Raw genomic sequence first — 21,356 nt, forward strand, 5'->3', positions numbered from 1 at the left:
ACTTCAACAACTCACAATTCTGTGTATACATGGAAGGAGCAGAAATAGGGGAGAGCAATGTCTATCACAAGTACCTAAAAAATAAATGTTTTGGGTGCACAATTACAAAAAGAAAAAAAAATCAAAAAAAGAAAATGTAAGTTTAAAATAATCTCAGAGGAAAAATAAAATAGAAATTACCTTAAAATGTCAATAAATAAATATATTGCATTTTATATTGTCATTGGAAATTATGTTAAGGGAAAACTGGTGCAGCTAAAAAGAAATTTTTTTTTGAAAAAATATCTTACAACAGCTAAATTAGGAGAAATGAGAGCTATATAAATTATCACAATTTAGTTAATATTCTTCTATCCTGCCTGTTAAAATGGGCCTCCAATTGACATTTAAAAAATATGCTTAATTAGATTCACAGATTAAACTTTTCTACTGCAGTTAATTTAACTACTTTCTAGGTAGATTTTATATATATATATGTATATATATGTGTATATATATGTATATATATGTGTATATATATGTATATATATGTGTATATATGTATATATGTGTGTATATATATGTATATGTGTGTGTATATATATGTATATGTGTGTATATATATGTGTATATATATGTGTATATATGTGTATATATATATGTGTATATATATGTGTATATATGTGTATATATATATGTGTATATATGTGTATATATATATACACACACACACATATACATATGTGTGTATATCCGTGCATGTATATGCATATATATGTATGTGTACTTATACACTTTTATGAAGAACTGATCCTGGTTCTATAGAAGGGGAGAAGCAGAGTCCAATATAGATTGATTTTGTTTATAAAAAGAATTTTTTACAAGATGTCTTTTATACACACCTGTGAAATATTTGTTGCTCTGTAGATGAATGTGTTGGCACTCTGCCCCACAGAGTTTTATATATTTTACAACTAAAATGTCTTCCTAATTTTTTTCATTAGATAAAACGTTTCCATGCTATAACAACAACAACAAAATTGTCAGGGGTCTAACTGTGCTTCTCCATCCCCGCTCCTAAAGCCTATATTTTGGGAGCAGAAATTTAAAAAATGAGTGCCTCCTTCCCGATGTCAGAGCAAAAGCCAGATATCTCAGAGAGCAACTCCCCACAAGGGTGAGGATGTGGTTCACTGTGTGTACAGTGCATCAAGGCAATTTCTGTGCTGTTTGCTTTCTTCCCAAACCCCGTCTCTCTCTGCTCCTCAATCTAGATACTCATGCCCCCCAGAATTAGAAAACACTCTGCTTTCCAGCAGTCTCTCCACCATCACATATGGGCACACTCTCATGTGTGCTTAAAACTTTTCAGCCTGATATACATTTTCTATGGACTGAGGCTGCCTTCCATAGACTTGATAGCTACCTAGGCATCAGGACTAAGAAGATACACATAACCATGGTATGATGTAAAAGAAGAATAATCCAAGCACCCTTTCATTATTATTTAATAAGCATTTATTATCTGCCAGGAACTATGGATAAAGATATTAAGAACAGGTGTTCTTAATTAGCCAGGCATGGTGGCATGTGCCTGTAATCCCAGCTACTCGGGAGGCTGAGGTGGGAGAATTGCTTGAACCTGGAGGCAGAAGTGGCAGGGAGCGGAGATCGTGCCACTGCACTCTAGCTTGGGCAACTCCGTCTCAAAATAAATAAATAAATAAATAAATAAAGTGGTCTTTATACTCAAGGAGCATTTGGCTAGAGAGAAAGAGAGAAAATGATAAAAATAATTAAGTACAGGAAGATAATGAGGTGTCATGAAAGATGTACAATGTATAAGTAGGCCACCAAGGAGGAATTCTCTCTGAGGACTTCAGAAAAAAAGATCAAGGGATGATATTTTGTTCATTAATGATACAGGTTTACTATATCCCATCATTGCAAAACGAATGCACTCTATTAACGAAATCATAACTCCACATCTCTAAATAATCACCAAATAGACATAATGCTGGATTTACTCAGTCCTGCTTGGTTGCATAAGTTTGAAATTCACCTTCTTTCAAAGCAGTGTTTTTAGTCACTAATTTCACAATCTGTTAATAGTTTATCTGAAAGATAATAATGTTCTGCAATTGTTATTAATGAAAAGAGTTTTCTGTCACTGTTGAACAAGGAGTGATGACCCAAACCCAGGTTCAGTACACGCATGAGGTAGTCCACTGAGATCCATAGAAGGCTTTCATGAAATAGACTTGGAATCTGTACATTTTGCCAAGAGGCAATGAATTGAAAGGTATGTCGTTTAAAGTCCTATTTACTCTGCAGGCACCTTTTTGACTCACTGCTAAAAGTACCCATAAAAACTCCTCTTGAGCTAAAACAGTTTAAGTTGTCAACTGCACTAAGGAGGCCATAATCCATGGATCATGATCCAAACAGATAGTGAGAGCTCAGCCTGTCATATTGAAGCTTAGTAAGAAAATTTTGATTGTAGCTTGGTGAACTGATTAATGAACTAAAAAAAAATTCTTCTGAATTCTTAAAGGGGCTTCTCGTACTCTGAAAAGATTGATTCAGTCAATAATTTTCAATATTTACCCCAGCTTCTCATAAATATTTCTTAGCACTGTTCTTATCTAGACTAAAAACGAAACTAGTTCTTCCAGGCACCCAAAGCCACAAAGCTTCAGCTGTAGAAGGTCCAATTCAGTCATTCATTACCAGGCGCACATATAATGTGGTTAATCCGTCCTAATTGAAGGTTTTTTACTGCTTTTGCTTTTTCTGCAAACTTCCGTAGACTCATCAGCATGGTCCTGAATGAAATGTATTTCTCCACATTGATATCTCTCACTCGTACTTGCGATATGCGACAGGTGGCAAATAATTTACAAAATGCAAAGAGATCTGTTGCCTAGTAAACAATGCCTGGGACTTTAACTTACTCATTTCCTAGTGTTGGGGATGTAGATTTGAGAAGTAATTACACACAAAAAAATTCTGCTTCAGTTGAGAGGGTTCCAGTAATATCTGAGTAAGTCACAAGTGACCACATCAATATAGAGCTCAATGTGTTATTTAAGAAATAGTACAACTGAGAGGCCGGGCGCGGTGGCTCACGCCTATAATCCCAGCACTTTGGGAGGCAGAGGCGGGCGGATCTCAAGGTCAGGAGATCGAGACCATCCTGGCTAACACGGCGAAACCCCGTCTCTACTAAAAATACAAAAAAAAAAAAAAAAAAAAAAAATTAGCAGGGCTTGGCGGCGTGCGTCTGTAGTCCCAGCTACTCCGGAGGCTGAGGCAGGAGAATGGCGTGAATCCGGGAGGCGGAGCTTGCAGTGAGCCGAGATCGCGCCACTGCACTCCAGCCTGGGCAACAGAGTGAGATTCTGTCTCAAAAAGAAAGAAAGAAAGAAATAGTACACTTGAGAACTGAAGATGTTTCCTAAAGGAGAACTTTGCTCATTTCTAAGCCATCCATCACATAACTCATATGAGACTCATATGGTGTGCCTGGAGTATAATAGACCCTAGTAAAAAAATGACCTGCAGAACTATTCCAATTAGATCCTGTTGGCCCTTGAATCATTAATTCACTCAGCAAGTTTACATTCATTGAAGATTGGCTACATAATTTTGGGGGGCTCAATTCAAAATGAAAATTCAGGGTCCTTTTAAAAAAGTATTAAGAAATTCAGAACAATGGCATCTGAGCATTAAAGCAAGAGTGTGCCCTTCTAAGTGCAGGATCCTGTGTAATTAATTACACAAGTCCCACTCAGAAACCCAGTCTTATATTCATTACCTATTGTGCATTGTGTTGAACAATGCATGGAACAAAAACATGAATAAGAAATAGTCAATGGCCAAGCATGGTGGCTCACACCTGTAATTCCAACATTTTGGGAGGCTGAGGCAGAAGGATCACCTGAGCCCAGGAGTTTGAGACCAGCCTGGGCAACATGGTGAGACCCCATTTCAACAAAAGATGAATAAGTTATCTTTATTAACAAAAATAAACATTTAAAAAATTAAAAATAAATAGATCTTGCCTCCAAGCAGTTTACAATCTAGGATCATACCTAAAATCTGTAAGTGTTGTTAATTACATTAAAAATATTCATTACTCAGGTTAGAAGAAGAAATGAAGGAGTATATCCACTTTGGCTACCTGGGAAGTGTATTCTCTCTATGGGCAATTCCCTCACACTATGTAATGGACACACTTGTGTTTTTTATAAACTTCAGTGCATTTGAAAATGCTGTTCTTTATGACTGAACTGATTTCCATCGAATCTTTGCTTGGCTAATCCTGCCCATGCTTCAGGTCTCACAGTTTTACCAACTGAGAGATTGAATTAGATCGCCAGTTTCACTCTCATAACTCTCCAGATCTTGCCTTCCAAGTGTCTATCATAAGTTTTTAGTTTTATATTTAAGTTGGTGTTTTTTGTTTTTTGTTTTGTTTTGTTTTGAGATGGAGCCTCACTCTGTTGCCCAGGCTGGAGTGCAGTGGCGATCTCAGCTCACTGCAGCCTCCGCCTCCTGGGTTCAAGTGATTCTCCTGTCTCAGCCTCCTGAGTAGCTGAGACTACAGGCACCCGCCACCACGCCCAGCTAATTTTTTGTATTTTTAGTAGAGACAGGGTTTCACCGTGTTAGCCAGGATGGTCTCGATCTCCTGATCTGGTAATCCACCCACCTCGGCCTCCCAAAGTGCTGGGATTACAGGCGTGCGCCACTGTGCCCGGCCGGTGTTTTGTTTTCATTTACTAAAAACTCCATGAATGCAGGGAAGCATCCTTCATTGCTGTTCACTGGCATCTCCCCACTTCCTATTTTAGGACTAGGCCCAGGGTGGCACTTAATAGGTATTTGTTAAATAAATATCATTAAATGAAAATCCTAATGGAAGTGGACATAAGCAATAAGAAGTTAAAAGGGAGTAAGTGTAAATAAAAAGACTGAACAAACCTGTTAAGTTATTAGAAAATAGTTGGCCGGGCTTGGTGGCTCACGCCTGTAATCCCAGCACTTTGGAAGGCCGAGGCGGGCGGATCACGAGGTCAGGAGATCCAGACCATCCTGGCAAACATGGTGAAACTCTGCCTCTACTAAAAATACAAAAAATTAGCCGGGCATGGTGGCGGGCTTCTGTAGTCCCAGCTACTCGGTAGGCCGAGGCAGGAAAATGACGTGAACCCAGGAGGCAGAGCTTGCAGTGAGCCGAGATCGCGCCACTGCACTCCGGAGTGGGCAAAAGAGGGAGACTCCGTCTCAAAAAAGAAAAAGGAAAATAGCGAAGAGCCCAGTTTGTCTGGAAAGTGGGTTTTGACTTATACTAGGAAATAGAAGGAATTGAAGTGCTTGGTGGGGAAGCCATATTGTAGAAGGAATTAAATAGAAGGAATTAAACTGCTTGATGAAGAAAGCCATATTGTAGAAATACTTGAGACCCTAATTGGGGAGTTTCTATGTCATTTAGTAAGTAATGAATGGGGAAGGTTGTTGTTAGACTTTTTTAAGCAGGTAACTGTTTAAAAAATATATATAAGAAAATACAAAATTGTATTTTGAACAGAAGTGCTTCTAAGCAACTTACGGGCTTGATTGAAGCGCTTTATGGGAGAGATGATTGTCTAGGCAGTATATTTAAAGAAAGTTAAGGCATGAATTTGAATTGAGAGAGAGGATTTGGGGAGGAGATATAGGAGCAAAGATGAAGACAAGAAAAATACTTGAAATTTTGTTAATAGAGTGATTTAATTTAGTCATCTAACTTGTCAGTTTTGGGGAAAATTTAAAAAAAAAAACAACCCTTCTCCTTTTTTTCTAATCTTCTGTTGAATTAATAAACTATTAACTACAGTACATTTGCCTAAAACAGGAACTTAAAAGTTGAGAAACATGCTTAAGTTCAGTCTACACTAACGACATGCAAGTTTCATTTTCAGTCATGTTAGCTAACAGAACTGCAAAGAGAGACTAAATCTTTGATAATGTGTTTTTTGGAGTGATTTTTTAAATGGATTATACAAACGTTACCATTCACTAGAATTCATATTACTTAGAGGCATCTGAGCACATTTTGAAATGAAGTGTTTCAGCAGAGAAAGAAAATCCTCACCCCCACCAAAAAGAAAAAAATTGGGGATTTAAAAAAAAATTAAAAAATAAAATAAGTCCATCCTTGGAAAAGGCTTTTTAAAAATAAATTAGATGTATGAAACAGAAACAAATGAAACAAAATTTTTTTGTGTGTTTAATCAGCATCTAAGAGGTTTATTAAATTGCCTTTCTAATGTTGATATAAGGCAAAAGTGCAACCACTACTTCCATTAAAGGGAGAAAAAAATGCTAGAATAATGTAGAAAAGAAATTATTTCTGTGCACTCTATGATAGGCTGATCATTTCACATCTTGGCATATTGCTGTTGAATGTGGCATGCGAAGTTGGACGATAGTAAAAAGATTGTTGAAACTCAACGATTACAGCACATGCTTTAAAACTCAAGGGTTTCTATTGCTGGGTTTGTGACTCAGATGTCATTCCTAATAGGGTTATTTTGTGTTGCTGCTCAGTTTTAAACTCTTACTACTTAATCTCTGAAGATGAATAATAGTCTACTTCAGATCCTTCATCCATTTTGAGACTTTCTTTCAAACAAACTACACAAATGATAAATCAAACTAATGTATATTAGCAATCATTTATGATTTCAACATGCATCCTATAACTGTACTGAGTGGTGATGATGAAAATAATAAGAAAATATACCTGTCACAAGACAAAATTACCACAAATTTAATTAAGATCTTAATTAGCTTTTACTTGTGATTCTAGCATCAGGCAACACGTTGTTTTATAAAATAGAATGGATGTTTTGATGAGCCAAGCAGAGAAATTTGGCTTTATAGACAGAAAAGGGCTGAAGAAAGAAGAAACAGAACAACAACAAAAAAAATGGATTGGTTGCTTCAAAGTTAAAGGTTAAAGTGAAGGGGACTTCCTTGTCATGCCCACTGAAACTGGCCTGTTTGGGGATTTGAATATTATCTCTCTCTCTCCTGATTGCTTGGAAGGTTAGATAAACAACTTGGTTTCAGCTTGGTAGTATGGAGCTTTAACGTGAATAATTCCATTTTGGTTTGGTCTCTTGGGCCTAGTACAGGAGCTCAGTTCAAACCAACGGCCTCCCGTAAATTGTATTTGACAAGCCCCAAAAATAACTTTTAGTGCTCTATCCTCTACTTTGATAATTATTCAGAAGAATATTCAATGCATGAACCTAACTATGTAAAGCAGCAGGCATACAAAAATATTTTTTTCTCATGCCAAGCATATTATAGACACTATTCCTGAGATTTGAAAAAAGAAACATGTGTGCCACAGGTAATGTAAACAATATTCCTAGATATTTTTTGTTATCTCATGGTGGAAAAAAAATTGGCTTTGCTGCAAGCTGATTAGGAGATGAAGAATAAATATTATTTTGCAAAGAAATTCTGTTTATCTATCATAGTAATTGCATCACATTCACTTCTTTTTGTATTAAACTTTTGTTCCTTATATTAAAAAATCTCTTGGCAAAATGTTCCTAACTTTTCCCTTGCTTCCACATAAATAATTGAGACACAGAAGGTATATGGTCTGACTGACTTTAGGAAAAATATCTACCCTTAATAAATGAGAAAATTCATTGAAACGGCTCCTCACATTGAGTAGGATGAGTAAGCAGTCAACAAACACATTTTAGCTAGTGCTAGCATCAGTGAGGGCACCATCAAGCTTTGGACAAGGTAACACAATTTAGATTCTGACTGCCTGGCCCACAGTTTCCCATGTCTTGAAGAAGCAAATAGGACTTTCAATCAGTAATGTTAACAGCTTCTTTGACTTAGAAAAAAAAAAACTGTGGAAGAGAATATCAAGTGAAACAAAGCAACATTTATAAATGTGAATCTAAAGAAAGTTTTGCTCTCTTTTATTTCCTATTGTTTTACAAGCATATTTGCTTTATTTCACATTGACTAGTCATGTTAAAAATTGAAGAAGCTCATCACTTTGTGTTTATGTTGATGTTAGAAAAAGACAAGACAAAAACTCTGTTCCATAAGCCAAAAAGTTGCTGATATCAAATATGCCTGTGTAATATAGGCATCCCCCTTAATATCACCTTAAACATTTATGTACCGTTTAAATCTCTGTTACCTTGAGAACTTGGTTTTGGGGGTTTTCTGTTTTGGTTGGTTGGTTTTGATTGTTTTGGTTGAGTTTTTGTTTTTATTTTTTAATCTGTAAAATGAGTCACAGCTTCCTGACAGAAGAGAAGGAAAGACTAATGTGTTAATATTTTAAAAGAACACTCAGGTAAGTACTCTGCTTACCTCCCTGTAAGTCTTATGGGTATTGTAAACAGCAAATGGATTAAGAAGACTAGAAAGGCATAAACACATGCTTTGCATGTGATTTTATAAGATTATTGCAAAAATGAACTCTCCGTACACAGGCTAATCGGAGACATTACAGGGTTGCTGAAAATGCTCTGAAGAAAGCAATCATGTCACATGGTGCAGTAAACAAATGCTGGAGTTGTGGAGTTTTGGGGGTTGGGTTATTGTCAAGAAAGCAGAGTGCTGGCTGGCATTGATGTAACTGTAATTATTTATAATAGAGCTTCTCAAAAATTAGCTAGTATTCCTGGATGATAAAACATAAGACTGTTGGGCCCTATGTACAAAGTTTCTGATTCACTAGGTATGGGTTAGGTCCTAGAATTTCTAATACGTCTCTAAGTGATGCTGGTGTTTATCTAAGTGATGCTAGTGTTCCTGATGAGACCATTGAAAGAGGAGTTTAAACTAAATTAAGAGCAGGTAAGGAATGTAAATATGAGAAGCTGTCACAGTAGAATGTAGTGAAACTTTGACAAGAGAGAAGTATGCCCCTGCCTAAAGTATTCAAGTTGAAAATAAAATAGTAATACCAACAACAATTATAATAAACGCAGTTTTAAGCAAAATTAAAGGATATGAGCCTGATTCATCCTGTCTGCTTCTTGAATTTCAAGATTTCTTAGGGTCCTTCTCTAAATTTTTATATACTCCAAGTACAAACTTGATTATGACTTTATTGAATTTGGTCTCTATATTTTCATAGCGGAAAACTGAGGCTCATGGAGAAAATTAGAAAATTTAGTGAGAAAGCCACAGTGAAAAATCTCAAAAAGAGGGACTTTTCAAAAATAATTACAGACACCTAGGAATTTAAGAGGTAGGCTGCCACTTGCTGCAGGAAGCTCAGGAGAAACTGATAAAAGTCCTGGACAACAAGTATTAATAGCTTGTTGTAAAAGTATCCAAGGGCTGGCACTTAAGGAAAAGAAAGCCAATATTTATTGGAGGTCTATGATATGCTGTAATTTCTTCTAGGCATCTTTTAAATGTTTTTCTCATTTATCTTCACAATTATTCTATAAGATGGTATTGTTAGTACATTTTACAGATAGGAATCTAAAACTCAGAAACATTAAGAAGCTTGCCTGATGTCACATATCTAGTAAATGTGAGATCTGGGAGCTGAACAGAGGCCTGTCTTTCTCCAGTGACCATTTGGTTTTTGTTATATCACTGGCTTCTGCTCAGCCGCAAAATTGAGAACATGAGAGAACTGTTTCTACATGAAACCCCTCCCTAAGTCTACTTTTCTATCTGAAAAAAGAAATTAGCAAATTCTTTTCAGATAGTCAAATAACAGAACCATTATCATCCTGGAAGACAGACAGTACTTTTAATTATTTTATCAAAATACTCCGGAGAAAGGAAAGTAAAATGCAAAGAGCATAAGTTTTAGCAGCCAACTAAGCTAAATTTAAATCATGGTTTCATTACTTCTTGTCAGTCTGCTTTTCTCAGTAACATACCAGGGTGAGGTAAATTATATCTAAGTAATATGAGAATAAACAGACCTATATGACCCAACTTAAATTTAACTGATATAAATAAAATGTTCAAGCATAATCGCTGCCATATTACAGATGTTATAGAAATATTATTTCCTTCTACCTTTGTCTAAGTTAATATGATAAGCCAAAACACTCAGAAAATGCTCTTACTACTTGTTAGCAACTCACTTTTGTTTTTCTCAGCAGTCCCTTATCTGAACTCTTTTACTTTTGTTTCCTGTTCCATTGGTCTCTTCTGCTTTGCAATGCTTCTAATGCTTCTAATCTTTTACTGAGCAAAAATGCCTTTGTCTCATACTCTCTTATAAAATACATATTAGCCCAGATCCTAACATTCTCTAAAGAAAAGATGCTACTGAATGCAATGTTTAAGTAGCCTGAAATTGCACCTGCATTATCATATTTCATACTTTCATATTTTTGTTTATATTTCTTTGAAATTAGTTTTAGTCTTTCCTGTGTATAAGAATAAATATGCTCATTGTAGGAAATACTAAAAATGCAGAATTTTTGTAAAGTCCTCCAAAATTCTGCAACTCAGAAAAACCTCCACATTGTTAGTATTCTCAAAAAAAATTTTTTTTTTGCAGGCTTCCTTTCACTGGCTTCCTTTCACTGTGTGTGTGTGTGTGTGTGTGTGTGTGTGTGTGTGATCATAATTGGCTTCTAAATGGGTTATTTCACTTGAAATAATACCATATTCTTTTTCTTTTGTCATTAGAAAATAATTTAATAACATAGTTTTTAATGGCTGCATAATAGTTCATCATATAGCTATCCCTGCTTTATTTGTTTATAATCTCTCCTGGGAAAAGCACTGCAATACAAATATCTATTTAAATTGCCATTGCTTGAAAAATAGAACTAATGAGAAAAGACACAATTACAATGCATATTCAGTCTCATAATTACAGAGTTTGTACAGCTGTGGCTTTGGCAACAGAAGAATTAATTAAAATATCAAAAATTCACTATCATTCACTAAGTGACTCATGAATAGTTTTACAAGTTTATATTGTATATTGTTCTTATGAAAATGTTCATTGATATACCATTTTGTTATTGTTAGGAAGGAAATAATTTTCTATAAATATTTGTTGAGTAAACAGAAATAAAAAAGACTTTTGTATCTTTATATTCCTATGGTACTAAAAATATTTTCCAAGAAGGGAAATACCATTTCCTAACATTACACAAAATACATATGATAGATGGACAGAGGTTTATATAGTCATTGAAAGAATATTTCAGATTTTAAATTTTAATTACTTTGTTCATATTCAAATTCCTCTATCAATTCTTTATTCACAGCTGCTATGTGAATCCAAGCAAATTTTTCATCTAGAGACCCTCTCTTGCAAAATCTTTAAAGACAGTTGAACTAAACAATTCTTATGTCCATGTCAGCCCTAAAATCCTACATTTCTGTGTTCTAACAGGTTAATTAATATGGTTTCTAAATCAAAGCATAATAAAATTATATTAGGTACCTTGTTTTTGAGGATGAAAGAGAATATGCTCAAAAAGCTTTATTAATATTTTTCAGGTATACTGCTATATGTCAGCTAAAACTTTGGAAATTAAATAATTACATAAAGTATTATGACTATAACTGCTGATTATATAGAACACATGTAGGCACAAAACATGCATCTAAAAAAGATCTTGCTTACTTAAAAAAAAATCCTGTTTTTAGAGCACTATTTGTTTTGATAAGATAAACCATTTGTGTAAGGCACAATGAATGGCAAAATTCTTTTATCTTATCAAATAGAGGGTTACATAGGAAAGGATGCATTCTCCAGAATTTTGATAGTGTAAAATATTTAATACTGTAAGAGTTCTTAGTGGATCAGTAAAGACATACCATGAAAAGTTATTTTTGAGGAGTACTTAAGCAGTTACAGTGTTATCATATGAAGGCAAATTATAATATTCCTTCTTACTAGCCAGGCCTCCATGTACTTTTTGATCTTTTCCCTAAATGCATTTCATATTCCTTGGTTATATCTGAAGAAAGCCAATACCTTTAGTCCAAACATAGGAGAAAAGTAATCGGGGCTTTCACTGCAATCCAGTAGATGAATACATTATTTATTGATAACCTTTGTTATGTGTACACAGCTGGGGATGGAGGTGTGGTCAAAGTGTGGTAGAGATCACCAGAGGACACTTCAGACACCACTAGGACTGGTATGGCTTTCTCCTCTTCACTCCTGTTTTAAAGATTGCTCAGACTTTTTCAAGAAATGTGTAGAAATATGTTTGAGGCTCAGCATGCTTCTCTTATTTTGCTGATGAAGAGTCTCTGGCATTAGCCAGACTTCTTGGAATAGTAATATTTTTTAATAGCAAACTAACATGTCCTCTAACAAAAACCTTCCCTTCCCACTTTTTTTTAACCAGTTTGCTGAGTATCATGTTAGTATTCACTTTTTTCTTCATAAGAGCCTAAAATGCCTTGCATTTTGGCAAAGTGAATTTATTTTATTTTTTAGCTTCTACATTATTTAAAACAAAAAGTGTCGACTGCTTGAACTTTCATTTTTATATCAATCAATATTTCCTGGTCTCCTTTTCAAACGAGCTGACTTTTCTGAAGATTTTTAAGAGGCCACCTGATTTCAGGAGTAAAAATAAATAAATGAGAAGAAAGTATTTACTATTTTCAACTACATCTGTGGCAAAGAATCAAAATGTGCATATATCCCAACTGCGAAGTATCTCTAGTTAAAATATAAGCTGTTTAACATTAACTTTAATGTTAGCAACCTCACAAATGCCTTCTCTACAAGTCAGGGCCTCACAGAAAGCCATAAAAGGAAAGGAATATAATTTCTCTTGCTGGCACTTACTGAAAAGCTAAAATAGAATAGTAACAGAAATCATATTTGCCAGCCCTAACTGAAGGAATTGTGAAACATCTCAGAAGATTGTAAGTTATTATAAAAATGTTGTAATTACCATGCTATTAACTATGCCTTATAGGAGTTGAAACTTTTGTTTAACCAAAAATTATTTCAAGAACAGACAGCTAATTACTTACATTTAGAAAATATATTGCATACAAAGATATGGAGCATTTTAAAACGTAGCTTTAGGTTGAAATGCAGTAGTCCATTTTTTACTCCCTAATAAGAACTAGGATTTTTGAAATGATATTTTCAAGTATAGTAATAATATCTTTGAAATAATTCACTTATTTTTCCAGTTGCTGGCTTCAAAAGATTTTTAAAAACTGTGTCATTTATTTCATAAATTCTGAATTCTTTAAAGCAAACATGAGTGTGTGAAAGTTAGTTAAAGCACACCTACAGTAAGAAATTACGTGATTCTTACAGTGAGTTATTGCTCTTTTTAAAAGTGATTCATTGACTATGGCTTGGGTAGCTTAACCCTTTGAAGTACACATATCTGCATATACAGATTACACATGTTTTGAAAAAATGAGTAAGTTTTGAATTACAGGTATGTATGTGGAATTGTGAGGTCAATACAGAAAGTTTGGATAAAATGCCACTTTGGCAGAACGCTAAAGATTAGTGTCAGCTGTGGGATCTTTTTGTTGATGTAATAATGCACATTTCAGTTCACCTTAAACAATGACTATCTTGACTACTGTATTATGTCATTATATACTGCATTTATGGCTCTTTCAGGAATAATTGTGAAAGCTTTATTGAATTATTTTTCATTTCTTTTCTAATTACAATTTTCAATTTATGTCATATCCAAGGGAACATAACAAGAAACTAAATCAATTTATTTCTCTGTGTTTCTTTTTTAATAAAAAGAAAACTAAGCTTTTCTGATTTTTTTCTGAAATTGCTTTTTTATGCTTTCTTAAAAACAAATTTATCTTTAAATTTAAATTCAAATATGAAACCCCTTGCCAAGATACATGTTTAGCTTTTTTTTTCCTTCAGAGAATTTTTTTCCTGGTAAGAATAATTTATATGGCTGAGGCTTTAGTCCCAAAACAGTTTTAAATTGAAAAAAAAGTGGCTTTTAAGAAACCGAAATGCCCATTTTTTGTCTTAAATGAGTCTACCAATGCCTCCTTTCTCCTTTCCTCCACTATCCTCCCTCACTCACACTTCAACAAGTATACCCCCACACTATTTTTCACACTGTTTCTTCCCTAGAGTAAGTCCTTTTCAGGCTACCTGGTGGTTTGTCCACAGCCTAGGCAATGCAAATATCACCCAAATGAGTCCCTGAGATACATGTTAATAGAAGCTATACAATGTAATGTTAAGAACCAGTTGGCTTCTCTGTCTCCAAATACTGATCTAATACATGTTTGCAGATTAGATTTACAATGGATGAATTTACATACAGTTCTGTGCTCTGTAGAGAAATGTAGTTGCTTTAGAGTCGGAACGGCAAAATGTGGCTCTTCTGAACCTAGAAGAGAAAATTCTGACCCCTCCTCCTTCCCCATTTTAATGGTTTGACTAACCACAGACAAACACCCTTAGCATATTTGGGGAAGTAAGTTGTTATTTTATCGGTTTGAGGACTTCTCTAAACTTATCTTTTATATGCTCTCCAGCCCTAGGCTGTGATGTTTTCTGGTTGTCTTTAAATATCTGAAGAGGCAAAAGCTCTTGCTCTCAGTTCTTATTAACTTCTCGTCACAACAGGAATAGTCTGTTAATCTAATTTGCCTATAAACTTATTTTTTTCTTTCCTTGGTTTTCTACCCATAACATTCCCCAACTTAATTTGCTGCTTGGAACTTCTATATTGAAGACCACCCATTTCCTTATCTATTACCTGCTCATTCTTCACTGTGTCTATGGATATATCTGATGCTCTCTATTCTTAAAAGGATGAGAAAATAAGAAATAGGAAGAAACTGAGGGGTTGTTTTAAAACTCAACCAATAAATTATTGACATTACACCTAGCTGATACAAATCTATACACTCGTGGGTTCAAGAAATTTCATTTTCTTTTACGATCACGATTTAAAAGTGTAATTCTAACTCTGAGACATCTTCCCATTGGGATGACAGGAAATTCAATCCCAGGCACTCTCGGTACTCCCCATCTTCTCTCCCTCCTCTTCCCCCAGGCCCAGAGTGTTAAGGAATAGAAGTCACAAATATGATGTGGAAACAGTAAAAGGTGGCACCTTTTCAAGATTGTGCCCCTCCTCTACATAGGCCCATCTGATTTCTGATCTTGCTTGGACAGATCTTCTGTATTTTCAACAGAAGGCATAAATGTGAATTTTTATGTGAATTCTCTCAAATTATAAATATTTATTTAAATGATGCCATTTAAAAATATATAGCTTTAAGCCAATTCAGCCCATTGGCCACCATTTTACAACTTCTATCTTGGACATGGTAAGTGCCATAAGGGCACTTGCCATCAGGCTGCTTCGGCCTTTCTGCCCTGCGTGAAGGCAAGGGTCGGCCTGGCTATCTGTCTGATAACTTTTCAGAGCCCAGGGGCTCAGGGGAGATGCTCACTTAGATAGCCTCTACCCTAACATTTGGTGATTATCATTTATTACAGAGTACTTTGTGCTTCAGGAGTTCTCTAGTTCTAAAGGTTATTTGCACAAGCAAAACAATAAAAAATTAATTACACCAAATAGTAGGCATTGCATGGTTCTTATCAGGTGAAACTAGAGGAAGTATTTGGCATGTTTCTTTATTCTTTGCAGAGATTCCATAATTCCAACACTATGAGGAATATATTGGTAAAAGGAGAGAAGCTGGTGTCTGGCCCCCTAATACATGATGTGCTTCAAAAGTCCAGGCATGAGCAAATAGAAGATGTGTGAATCTGGACATGGATAAGGGAAAGAATGGAAAATAAAATTGCAAGAGATGATGTAGAGTAAACTGGATAGGATTTGGTACCAAAGATATAGACAGTGATTGGAGGAGGGCAGAGTAGACACAGATGTCTACAGTTTAAGGACTCTATGGATAAGAGGATGAATTTTCCCTTCAACAAAATATTGACTAATGCCAAATTAGTTTCAGATGATCTATAATCAGTTCTATTTTCAACAAATCAGATCATGACTCTCCGCATCTTAAAAGTTTCCATTGGCTCTCTGATACAAATGGGACACATTTTAGCCTCTTCTACTTGGTCTAAAAAGTCCTTTAACATACAACCTCAAACTGCCTCTCTAGTCCTTACATAGCACCCTGAATGCTCAATATTCTACATCTGCTCAAACACACTATTTTTTTCTTTGTTGTTTCTAAAACATGCCAGGCAAATGTCACAAGTATGTTGTATTCTCTGTTAAATTGGCAGAATAAGTTTATTTAAATCAGTTTGTGCCTAAAACAGCTCTCATTTTAGCTCTTGCCTATCTTTCCCCTACCCAGATCCTTTGAAAACAACTTGAGATAGTGTACAGAATTATGGTCGTCCAATAGGTTTTTACTTTCTTAAGACTGATTATTTCAGTGAAAATAAAAATTCTCTACCATTCTTACCAATTAAGTCACTTTGAACAAGTGACTGACTGTTTTTTTTTTAAGTTTGGGGTGCTAATTGTGAACATTAAATAAGACCATGTTTGTACATTAGATAGTCAAAAAATGTTAGATTCCAATTAACTGATCAGCAATTTGGCCAAAAGGAAATTGAGGCCACAAAAATACAGGAAATGGGAAAAGGGAGTGAAGGGTAGAAGAAAAAAAGAGGAAATATAGATAGTTGTATCCCTCCAACAAAGTCCCTTTAGATACTGTTTACTGGTAGACAGTAAATAGGCTCTTCCTAGAAAATTTAAAACATATATTTGTTAATTTATCAAGTGCTAGAAGTATAAATTTACTTAGTAAAATACTACTTCTATTAAAAAATTAGATAGCTTTGTAGATAACTTATAAAAATACTTGATTCTCATTATCTATTGTGTCAACAAATCTTTAAAATGAGTACCATTCCCTGTCAAAATCACACTAATGCCATATTTTTGCATAAAGTAAACATTCCTGATGACAGATGGAGGGCAATAAATATGCTTGAGAAAATACCTTATATTTCAGCCGGCCACAGTGGCTCACGCCTGTAATCCCAACACTTTAGGAGGTCGAGGCGGGCAGATCATGAGGTCAGGAGATGGAAACCATCCTGGCCAACATGGTGAAACACCATCTCTACTGAGAACACAAAAATTAGCTGGGTGTGGTGGCACATGCCTGTAATACCAGCTACTCCAGAGGTTGAGGCACGAGAATCGCTTGAACTTGAGGGGTGGAGGTTGCAGTAAGCTGAGATCATGCCACTGCACTCCAGCTTGGTGACAGAGGGAGACAGTCTCAAAAAAAAAAAATTACATTTCTATTCTTCCCAAAAGACATCTCAAAGGTGAACTGTGAATGAAAATCATTTTCTACAGCAGTGATATGGTCTGGCTCTGTGACCCCACCCAAATCTCATCTCCAATAGTAACCCCCACATGTGGAGGGAAGGACCTGGTGGGAGGTGATTGGCTCATGGGGATGGTCTCCCCCATGCTATTCTCGTGATAGTGAATGAGTTCTCACAAGATCTGATGGTTTAAAAATGTGGAACTTCTCTCTTTCTCTCTCTCCTGCTGCCATGTAAGACCTGCTTTGCTTCCCCTTTGCCTTCTGATATGATTGTAAGTTTCTTGAGGCCTCCAGAGACATGTGAAACTGTGAACCAGTTAAACTTTTTTTCTTTATAAATTATCCAGTCTCAAGTAGTTTTTTATAGCAGTGTGAATGTGGACTAATACAAGCGGTAAGCTGGATTTTGAGATAACTGACAGGAAGAAGTTTGGCTGGTAAAATGAACACTGTACTTCTGATACCCTTGGTTGTTTTCAGCTACCATCAGTTATAAGACTTCAGAAAGGTCTTGTTTGTGCCTGTCTTCAGAAAAAATAAAGAAAAGAAGGGAGAGAAAGAAGGGCAGGAAGGAGGAAGATAGGCTATATTGCCTTTGGTCTGGAATTTCAGCCACAATTCCAGCCTTGTATTTGCTAAACACCTGTTTCTGGCCCTCTAGTTTAATTCTCCTGCTGTCCTAACCACTTAATGCTAGATCCATCTTTGTTCTCTCATCTCTGACATTGAACTTGGCTGAAATTTGTCATACTCTATTCTCTTTCCCATAAAGGTAGTCTGTGTTCATTCCTAGCAAATGACTGTCTTGTGCCAAAGGTCATCCACCATTTAGTCAAGCTTCCCCACCTCAACAGAGTCTAGAGAATTAGATTCACAAATCCTCCCACTTATACCTCTATCGCTACTGTGCAACTCCCCATTCTATTCATAAAACTGGCTACTCATAAGAAGAATATCTTTAGGAAATGGTTTGTGGCTGTGGAAAGCTCAGAGATAGCCCTCTGGCTCAAAGGAAGAGTTAATTTAAGTCACTTCAAACAGATTACGTATCTGTTTTTTCCCTCTCTGTCTCCCCAATCCATTTTCTATGATTAGAAAATAATGTTTAAAAGTGATTTGTGATTCAGCTCTTGCTGCAAAGTGGGTATTTGTAGTTACAACTACAAATTGGCTTAACCAATTAAAGTCTTTGTGCAAAAAACCTTGAGATGAGAAGGTGCTTACACTGACAAACCAGTCAAGATAAAGCTTTTCAAAGCATCTGTCAGGAGGAGACATATGGAGTGAACACTGCAAATGAGGACAGCTAACTTGTCCTTGTCCTTCTCCTGTCTTTTCACTTTTCAGAAAGGTTCAGAGAAAGAAGGTACACAACTTTCACTATAATTCATTCCAGTGATTCTCCTAACATTGCGGCTAGGAAGTTTAGTTCTTTTAAGCGCGCATCTCCTTTTTTCCTATAGCCATTTAGATCCATTTACCTTTCTGCTGAATTCAATGGCAGCTGTTCAGTCCTCCGGTGTACCTGTTTCATAGTCTTTGCTAGTGTTTGATGTACTTACTATGTCTAGTTTATATCAACTTGTTCCTTTTGACTCATTTCCTTAGGTACAGTCTCAAGGTTTTCATCACTGTTCAGTTTTCAAGATGTTCATTGTAGTGATCTGTGTCCTTATCTGTATCAACGTAGGATTTAGTTTGCATACATTAATGCAGGCTTAGAAAAACAATAAACACATTTGTCTTTTCTAATGTAATAAGGAATCTGGAAATAGTAACTGCTGCTGGTTCATCAGCTCATCAGCTCAAAAAATGTTAGGACTTGGCTCCCTCAGATCCCCTAGATACTTGTGATTACATGATATCTGCACCATCTTCAGTCATCAGTCCAAATTCAAGGCAAGAGAAAGAAGGACAGGGAAAAGGTCAAGAGGCCCTACACCTGGTCAGGGCAGCTGAATCTGCTAGCCCCTTTAAAGAGCTTTCCCAGAACTGTATCCAATGACTTCACTTACATTACTCTGGCCAACTATAATGGTAGGGAGGACTAGAAAGTTTCGTATTTTAGGTAGGCTCCTTGACCTTCATACAAAAATTTTATATTTTGTTAGGAAGGGAAAGGAGAGAATTAATATTAGGTAAACAGTGAACAGCCTATATTATAATGTCTTTCTCTTCTATAGGATCATAAATCCTTATTCATAAGAGAAAAAGCACAAGTTTTTAGATTAAGGACCCATGGTGTAATGGTTAATTTTATGTGTCAACTTGACTAGGCCACAGTAACCTAATATTTGGTCAAACATTAGCCTAGATGTCATTTTGAGGGTACTGTTTAGATGTGATTAACATTTAAATTAGTAGGCTTTGAATAAAGCAGATAATTGTTCATAACGTGGGTAGTTATCATCTAGTCAGTTGAAGGCCTCAATAGAAAAAGACTGAAATTCCCAAAGGAAGAGAGAATTCTGCCTCTAAACTACCTTCAGACTCAAACTGCAGCATCAGCTCTTTCCTGGATTTTCAGCCTGATGATCTGCCTTAGATTTCAGACTTCCCAGCCTCCACAGTCAATTCCTTAAAATCTCTCTCTCATTCTCTCTCTCTGTATGTTTGCAGAAAACATACACCCACATACATATTCACGTGGTTCTGTTTCTCTAGAGAACTTTAATATACTGAGTTTGAATTTGGGATTCCAGACCAACTAGTTAGGTAAATTTGGACGGGTACCTAAGATTCAGAATCAGTTGGTATAAACTAGGAATACCAGGGATGTAAAGGCTGTGTTCTAAAACCTTGAATAGGTATATGGATGGTGGGTGGGAAGTACGTGGGAGGAATCTTCGGTCTTCTCATTTCATTGCTGTACTCTTGTTTCAACTGCACCTTCATTTCTGTTTATTGGGATTTGAAAATTTGAGCTTCCCCATTAAATTTTATTTGAAGAAGTTGATCTGATTAAAATAACACAGCAACTGATCTTTAAGTTTCAGTTTAGTTCTGACAAATAAGTTTTTTAATTAAATGGATTTAGCTCAAGATATTCTGGGATCTCCAACTGGTAGGGTCAGTTGGGATTTTAAGGGTAGGAGCTGATCCAAAGTAGATGAGATCCCCTAAAATATTCAATGCCCCAAATCACAGTGTCCTAAGAGGTGTTGCTAACCTAGACTCAATTAGTATAAATATATGGGGGATTCAGTCTAGTGTGTAAAGAACAACGGTGGGAGTTGTCTGACAGTGAAGGAAGTTGAAGTCGGTGTGTTGTGGTGTCATCGGTTGAAGTCATTGTTTAGTTTGGTCTGAGGCTGCACAGGTAATTCTCTGCCCTCATTCTGGAAGTGGGGGAGGTGGTCCTGATACATCACTCACTCTTAATCAGACTCCCTCAGGAGCAGAGATTACTCTTGACACCTAAGTCTGTTAACACAGTGAGTCTAGAGAGGACAAATAAGATCTGACACTGAGATCACACAGGGCCTTTTTATTACATAAAACTTTTTGCCCACAAGAGATATTCAATAAAAACATGTTAAATAAATAAATCCACTGTAACACTGTAACTTAAACATTGAGTCTAAAGGTCAGCACACTGTTTAATGTAAAAGTATATGTGTGTTCTTAAGGAGATGTTCTCATTAGATAGGGATTTGTCAAAGTTTCAGAGATTATTTCTTCTCGGAAGGAAATTCTTGTTTTTCAAGCTCTAAGAACAGTTCTAGAGAAAGATGTCAAATTAACAAGAAAATCGATATATGGTGTTTTAGACCATCTTACCACGTATTTTTCTCTTTTTTATTAGGCTACATGAGAACATCTCTACAAGGAGAAAAAATAATTTTTATCATAATATTAAGAAATACAATACAAATAGAGTTTACTGTTGGAACTAACTCTATAATTGACCGAAATTAGTTCTCTGTGAAATTTGACCAATAGATTTTTTTTTCTATCATTCAGTTTATTCTGTAATAGCTTTAGGAGAGCTATTACTGACCAAATGACTATCAAGATGTAGCTTTAATTTTATAACATAAAGT

General features: G+C 35.7%; 2 long non-coding RNA genes across 2 annotated transcripts in view, besides 1 other annotated feature; both read right to left on the reverse strand.

Annotated features, from left to right (window-relative positions):
• Window positions 1-14,350, reverse strand: part of LINC02917 (long intergenic non-protein coding RNA 2917) — an 89,729-nt gene extending 75,379 nt beyond the window's left edge. Inside the window, exon 1 of the long non-coding RNA NR_186000.1 lies at window positions 14,296-14,350. This is a non-coding gene — a long non-coding RNA (long intergenic non-protein coding RNA 2917). The remainder of the gene's footprint in view (window positions 1-14,295) is intronic.
• The window catches only part of LOC101928166 (uncharacterized), a 45,966-nt gene extending 31,614 nt beyond the window's left edge, over window positions 1-14,352 (reverse strand). Inside the window, exon 1 of the long non-coding RNA NR_136178.1 lies at window positions 14,296-14,352. This is a non-coding gene — a long non-coding RNA (uncharacterized LOC101928166). The remainder of the gene's footprint in view (window positions 1-14,295) is intronic.
• Window positions 11,903-12,197: a silencer, noted in NCBI's record as "tiled region #12239; K562 Repressive DNase matched - State 5:Enh". NCBI's record gives its function as "represses a minimal TATA promoter and a strong SV40 promoter by Sharpr-MPRA in K562 cells {active_cell/tissue: K562}" and the evidence as "EXISTENCE:reporter gene assay evidence [ECO:0000049][PMID:27701403]".
• Window positions 14,353-21,356: the final 7,004 nt, after the last annotated feature.

The sequence above is a fragment of the Homo sapiens genome, chromosome 3, assembly GCF_000001405.40.
Source record: "Homo sapiens chromosome 3, GRCh38.p14 Primary Assembly".
In the NCBI taxonomy this organism is placed as follows: Eukaryota; Metazoa; Chordata; class Mammalia; order Primates; family Hominidae; genus Homo; species Homo sapiens.